Consider the following 7,692-nt stretch of genomic DNA (forward strand, 5'->3'; position numbering starts at 1 on the left):
CGTTTTAAACATTTTTTATGTGACACACCATAAATGGAATACCAACAGCACTTGTCATAAATAGAAATAAATGTAAAAGGAAATATAATACAATCAATTTCATTGAATTCTAGCAGTAAATGATTTTGTTTACCCAAAGTTCTAAGCTTGAAGCCTTATTTTTTATTGTTGGAAAGGGAGATTAACAAGTATAGGGAGAGTTTTAAAGTTATGTCATAACAAAACTGGTTCTATCCGATAGTTGAAAGGAAAATTGTAAATTTATGAATATTCTTATTTTGTGAATTAATGCTAATAAATACTATGGTTACTATTTGATTTATTTAGCTGCAAGCAATAAAAACCAATATTAGGAGGAAATGAAGTAGGTGACAGGAACTGATCACTGTAAGTCATTTCCAAGGGTAATTACGTGGTGAACCAGCTTCACTCCCCAGCCCTCCTCACACAGTTTGGAGCTCTCTGGTGGAGACTGAAAGATTCAGAGTAGGAAGCCTAATGGGCTTAGAGCATGTGTCCATTCCTTGAGTGGTGACAGAAGGGTGCTTGAGTTACAGTTCCACAAGAATGTGTGCAATGGGGGAGAGGTCATTTCTCCAAAGGAAATTCTAACTCTGGTACCACCAGAAAGGGAAATGAATGTTGCATAATCAAAAAAATGATAAATGCTTGCTGCCTGTGTTCGACACCCTAGTTGGACACCATCAGTGGTTTACCACCACCCCAACTTCAAGCTCTGGGGGCCACTGTGCAGAGAAGATTACTGTCCTAAGAAACTGTGAACACATGTTTTAGCTCCCAGGAGCCACAGGAATATCTGATACAGGGTGAGACTAGCCTGAAATTTATAAATTAAAAACAATTTCTGGTTTATGTCTTAATCTCCAATGAGACATTTATTAAAAATGAGCCTTAGGGCTCTGGCTAGCATTGACCAATGAGCACAATTTTGACAAAATTGTTGGGGGAAAAGTTGAAGAGGTTCAAGGTCAGATTCTGAGTTGAGAGGAGACATATTACCCAGAGGAACCTGGAAAAAGGCCAGGATCACTAAAGGGTAGCATGTAAGGGAGGGCATCTGTGATAACCACTGTTGGGAGCAGGAGACAAAACAGTCTGGGCACTATAAACCAGATGGAAGGTTTTTAAAGTAATCCTAAGGACAATGAAAGCAGGTTAATGACATAATAAAAATAATCAAGTTCATCTTTTTTAAAAAAAGATCATGCCACAGGAGAGGCTTTCAGTAATGGTGGTCAGGGCAAACAATTAATTCATTAATTTTTCTGTTATAGACAGGATTTTCCTCAGTTACCTAGGCTGGAGTGCAGTGACGTGATCATGGCTCATTGCAACCTTGAACTCCCGTGCACAAATGGTCCTCCTGCCTAAGCCTCCCAAGTAGCTGGGGCCACAGGCATGCAGCACCACACCCAGCTAATTTTTTATTTTTTTATTCTTTGTAGAGATGGGGGTCTCACTGTGTTGGTCAGGCTGGTCTTGAATTGCTGAGCTCTAGCAATACTCCTGCCTTGGCTTCCCAAAATGCTGGGATTACAGGCATGGGCCAACCCACCCAGCCTTCAGGGCAGTTTAGACAAATCCTCCCACTGCTCATAAAAGCTGTATAAAAGTAGAAAAATATCTGACTAAAATAATTGGAATTATGACAAGGCTGTAATAAATTAAGGGGCCAACATCTTGGAGAAGGAAAACTCCATAGAAACATCTGATGATTCTGGAAAAACAAAACCACTGTGGAGTTGAGATACTGAGCAAAGATTTCAATAGATTTACAAGGCAAAAATGACCACGAGAATCCTTAAAGCCTAGAGCCTGAGGGAGCACCCTTCCCCCATACTGCAGATGAAACATACATAAAGCTTGAGACTGATTCTTTCACTTAGCATATTGTTTTCAGCTTTTATCCTTGAAATGTATTAGTGCTTCATTTTTATTGCTGGATAATATTTTCTTGCACAGATAAATGACATTTAATTTATCCATTCATAAATCGATGGACATTTGTTTTCACTTTTTGGCTGTTATGAATAGTGCTTCTATGAACAATCATGTACAAATTTTTGTGTGGACATATTCTTTTATTTCTCTTGGGTATATCCTAGGAATAGAATTGATGGGTCATTGGCAAGTCTATGTTAAACTTTTAGGAACTGCAAGACTGTTTTCCAAAGTGGCTGCACTATTTTACGTTTTCACTGGCAGTATATGAGGGTTCCAATTTCTCTTCATTTTTGCCAACAATTGTTATTTTTCTGTCTTTGTGATTATAGACAAACTAGTGGGTATAATGTGGCATCTCATGGTAGTTTTGATTTGTGTTTTCCTAATGGCTAATGATGCTGAGCATCTTTTCATGTAATTATTGTCTATCTTTTTTGGAGAAATGTTTTTTTCAGAGCTTTTGTCTCCTTTAAAAATTGGGCTGTTTGTCTTTCTATTATTGAATTGTAAAAGTTCTTTATATAGTCTAGATACTAGTCCCTTAGCAACATATGATTTGCAAATATTTTCTTCCATTTTGTGATTATCGTTTCACTTTCTTGATGGTATCCTTTGAAGCACAAAAGTCTTCACTTTGCTGAAGGCCAATTTATCAATAATTCATTATTGCTTGTGCTTTGGGTGCCACAAGCAAGGAGGCTTTGCCTAACCCAAGGTCACAAAAATTTACTCATATTTTCTATGTGTTTTTTTAACTTTTACATTGAGGTTTATGATTTATTTTAAGTTAATTTTTGTGTATAACCTAGGAAAGGGGAAGCTGATTATTTACACTACTATTTGGATCTAGAATGTTTTAAGAGATAGGGAAAATTGCAATGTGTGTGATAACAATTTACATTAAAAATTAAAATATTTTGTAATGTTTTCCAATTATAATATCTATTAAATATAACTCCATTATAATGCTTGAATGTTATATATAAAATCCTCAGATAAATTTGACGATTGTTCTATTTGCCAAAATCTTAGTAGAGCAAAATTTCTCCAAATTGAAATTAAAATCATCTAAGACCCATAATGTTTCATGAAAAACCTTTAAGTTTCTAAATAGACAACTAATTTTGTAAAATTTTTAATTATATTATTATAATAATTATTTTGCTGAAAAGAAGGCAAACATTTATTTTTCTGAAAAAATGTATCACACTTATAAATCAGGGATGAATTAATTTTATTTCTATTCCAAAAATTGTTGGTCCAAACAGAATGTCCAGGTCATGTGCAATAATAAACTTAGGCATCTTTGTATTTTGCTAAATTTCAGTCATATAAAAACCATGGTTTATGGTTTTATAAATATTTTTAAATATCCTTTAGAAGATATAATTTTCAAGTCAGTTGCTATATGTTAGTCAATAGGTAAACAGCTATTTATGATGCATAAATTTTTAATCTGTAGCACCCTCAAATGCTTGGAGTAGAACTATAGAAATAGAACAGCAAATTCAATGCAAATAAAGTAAAATGTGGAAAAGAATGGGAAAAGACACAAATTACCAAAATAGAAAACAGGCATACAATTGAGAGAATCAAGAAAGCAAATGAATAAGAAAGTCTGTAACAGGACAAGGAGTAAGAATATTGGGCAGACACACAGAACATAGATATATGATTGATAATGCCATCAGTAATAAGGAAATGCAAATTAAAACTACAGTAAATAATGTCCAACTTGCCAATGGATACACAGATGGTAGTACATTCCTGCAATGAAATATAATTTAGTAATAAAAAGGAACAAACTACCAATACATACAACAACATGGACGAATTCCAAAAGCATCATGCTGGGTGAAATAAGACAGAAACAAATGACTATGTACAGTACGATTCCATCTCCATAAAATTCTAGAAAGGGCAAAATTGTAGTGACAGCAGATCAATGGTTTTCTGGGTCTGTAGGTTGGGGAGAGGACTGACTACAAAGGAACATGAGAAAACATTCTGGGGTGTTGGAAATGTTCTATGTCTTTTGTGAGGTGGTGGTTACATGACCACTTATTTTTGTTAAAAGTCATTGAATTTATACCATGAAAAATTATAAGAAATGGAAATCAATGAATCGCTGCACTAGCATGGATGAACTTTTAAAGTATGATGTTGAGAAATAATAATAATAAAAGAGTGCATATGATCAAGTTATACAAACAGGCAAATCTAAACGGTAGTGTTCTGAGTCAGGAGAGTGTGATCTCCCTTAAGCAGAAGAGAGGAAATAATGATTGCAAGAGGCCACAACTGGGTGAGGGGTTTGTGGCGAGCTAGCAGTGCTCTGGTTCCTCACCTAGCTGGTGGGTACCTATGTGAGTTATCAAACTTTGTATTTATGTTTGGGGTCACTTTTCTGATGATATATGACCTGAGTCTGGCTTGGGGAGGTGTGGGAAACAGGAGTGTGATAAATGTGTTGCTTTATTTTATTTATTTTTTAGATGAAAGATATTTGAGAAATATTACTTTTCTATAGGACTGATTTCATAGGAAGAGAAGCAATAATTAATTACTAGCTCAAAACTCCTGAAAAGGAGGGAGGACTTAGGATCCTGTTAGAAGAATTGGTTATAAACTAATTGAAGGGAGGAGGAGAGAATGTGGTGCACATGTAGGTTTGCAGGTGGAAAGTGAGTTATGGACTGAATTATGACCCTGATATAGTTTGGCTGTGTCCCCACCCAAATCTCATCTTGAATTGTAATCCCCACAATCCCCACATGTCGAGGGAGGAATCCAGTGGGAGGTGATAGGTCATGGGGGCAGTTTCCCCATGCTGTTTTCCTGATAGTGAGTTCTCAGGAGATCTGATGGTTTTATAAGTGTTTGACAGTTCCTCCTTCACATGCTCACACCCTCTCTTGACTGCCCCAATGTAAGATGAACCTGCTTCCCTTTCTGCAACGATTAAGTTTCCTGAGGCCTCTCCAGCCATGTGGAACCGTGAGTCAATTAAACCTGTTTTCTTTATAAATGACCCAGTCCCAGGTATATCTTTATAGCAGTGTGAAAACAGACTAATACAGAACCTCCCCAACCCAGAACTGTGTATGCTGAAGTCTTTACTCTCAGTATCATAAAATGTCACTGTATTTGGAGATAAAAAGTAATTAAGGTAAAATGAAGTCATATGGTTGGGCCCTAATGCTAACTGATATCCTTGTAAGAAGAGAAGATTAGGACATGGACACACACAGAGGAACACCAGAAGAAGAAACAGGGAGAAGGCAGCCATCTGCAAGAAAAGGAGAAAGGTCTCAGAAGAAACTAAACATGTGAACACCTTGATCTCAAACTTCTAGCCTCCACAACTGTGAGAAAATAAATTCCTATTGTCTAAGCCAGCCAGTCTGTGATACTTTGTAATGATAGCCCAGAAAACTAATACAGATGGCGTCTATTATCTTTAGATTGGAAACAAAGTTCCTTCTTGGGAGGAAGAAGGGAAATTAGCAGATTTACAATTTAATAAACATTGAGAAATTTTAACTATTAATTTAAGAAAGTGGAAGGTCAGACTGAGATGTAATTGTCTGAAGCATTGCTTCTCTATGTTGTGGGGCCCAGAAGAGCATGGTGAATTGAACTCATCCTTATGAGAAGAACTTCTGTTCTGAACTCAGACCACAGCAGTTTGTAGTTTGGCCTCTTTGACAACTCACAATGGCTGAATTCCAGGTCTGAAGACAAACATGAATGACACATGAAATTGCTGTTGCTTTAAATAAGTAGCCACAACTGGCTCTGAGAGTAGGTCACAGAGGTGGAGTCACAAATGAGATCTGCACCTGGTATGCGGAAGGAGACTAAAAAGAGGGACATTTGCCAGTAATCACAGAAATCAGGACAATGGGGTATTCATCTTAAGACACAACAGTACATAAAATTAGAGGAAACATCCACATATCTCAGTTTTTTGTCTAAGTCATAGGATTCAAAAACAAAGAGCCATAAAAGTATGTGAGTATCAAAAATGGTTGGGTGTACATCTTATTTTGCTAAATGCTGATTTCAAATCTAAAATGCAAATTAATGAGACAGTGTGAATGAATCGACATGAATTCATTTCTACTTTTTGAAATTAACTCCAAGTATTTGTCATAGAGAGGATTGCTCAGTAGTAGTAGTTACTTGTGTGTAACCATTAAATATTGTTATTTAATAGCATTTAGGCTAACCTTGTACATTGTAGGAATAGTTGCTTTAAGGATAATTACAGTACGTTGTCAAAATAAAGTGACACACAACTCAAGTTAGGCGTAAATAAGAGAGGTGGAAGTTTGACATACTCCCTTAAAAATGAACAGAAACAAGCCAAAATTGTAAACATCTTGGAATTGAAACATATTATTCTGTATTTTGCTTAATTTTTTTAAAAGCATGTGTATATTTTCTTGATGAATATCAAGAGAAACAAAGTTAAAAATAGGTACTCAGAAGAACAGTAGGCCTTTTCTGCATCTGTTGAGATAATCTTATGCTTTTTGTCGTTGGTTCTGTTTATATGCTGGATTACGTTGATTGATTTGCATATGTTGAACCAGCCTTGCATCCCAGGGATGAAGCCCACTTTATCATGGTAGATGAGCTTCTTGATGTGCTGCTGGAATCGGTGGTTTGCCACTATTTTACTGAGGATTTTTGCATTGATGTTCATCAGGGATATTGGTCTAAAATTCTCTTTTTTTGTTGTTGTGTCTCTGCCAGGCTTTGGGATCAGGATGGTGCTGGTCTCATAAAATGAGTTAGGGAGGATTCCCTCTTTTTCTATTGATTGGAATAGTTTCAGAAGGAATGGTACCAGCTCCTCCTTGTACCTCTGGTAGAATTCGGCTGCAAATCCATCTGGTCCTGTACTTTTTTTGGTTGGTAAGCTATTAATTATTGCCTCAATTTCAGAGCCTGTTATTGGTCTATTCAGAGATTCAACTTCTTCCTGATTTAGTCTTGGGAGGGTGTATGTGTTGAGGAATTTATCCATTTCTTCTAGATTTTCTAGTTTATTTGTGTAGAGGTGTTTATAGTATTCTTTGATGGTAGTTTGTATTTCTGTGGGATCAGTGGTGATATCTCCTTTATCATTTTTTATTGCCTCTATTTGATTCTTCTCTCCTTTCTTCCTTTGACAAAATTCAACAACACTTTATGCTAAAAACTCTCAATAAATTAGGTATTGATGGGATGTATCTCAAAATAATAAGAGCTATCTATGACAAACCCACAGCCAATATCATACTGAATGGGCCAAAACTAGAAACATTCCCTTTGAAAACCGGCAGAAGACAGGGCCCTCTCTCACCACTCCTATTCAACATAGTGTTGGAAGTTCTGGCCAGGGCAATCAGCCAGGAGAAGGAAATAAAGGGTATTCAATTAGGAAAAGAGGAAGTCAAATTGTCCCTGTTTGCAGATGACATGATTGTATATCTAGAAAACCCCATTGTCTCAGCCCAAAATCTCCTTAAGCTGATAAGCAACTTCAGCACAGTCTCACGATACAAAATCAATGTGCAAAAATCACAAGCATTCTTATAACCCCAATAAAAGACAAACAGAGAGTTAAATCATGAGTGAACTCCCATTCACAATTGCTTCAAAGAGAATAAAATACCTAGGAATCCAACTTACAAGGGATGTGAAGGACCTCTTCAAGGAGAATTACAAACCACTGCT

The 7,692-nt window shown here is 36.3% G+C and overlaps 1 annotated feature.

The window, feature by feature from the left end:
- Nucleotides 5,165–6,364: an enhancer, noted in NCBI's record as "BRD4-independent group 4 enhancer chr2:150734031-150735230 (GRCh37/hg19 assembly coordinates)". NCBI's record gives its function as "activates an origin of replication core promoter dependent on BRD2, P300/CBP, MED14 and CDK7 cofactors, and independent of BRD4, by STARR-seq in HCT116 cells {active_cell/tissue: HCT116}" and the evidence as "EXISTENCE:reporter gene assay evidence [ECO:0000049][PMID:35650434]".

This window comes from Homo sapiens, chromosome 2, assembly GCF_000001405.40.
Source record: "Homo sapiens chromosome 2, GRCh38.p14 Primary Assembly".
In the NCBI taxonomy this organism is placed as follows: domain Eukaryota; kingdom Metazoa; phylum Chordata; class Mammalia; order Primates; family Hominidae; genus Homo; species Homo sapiens.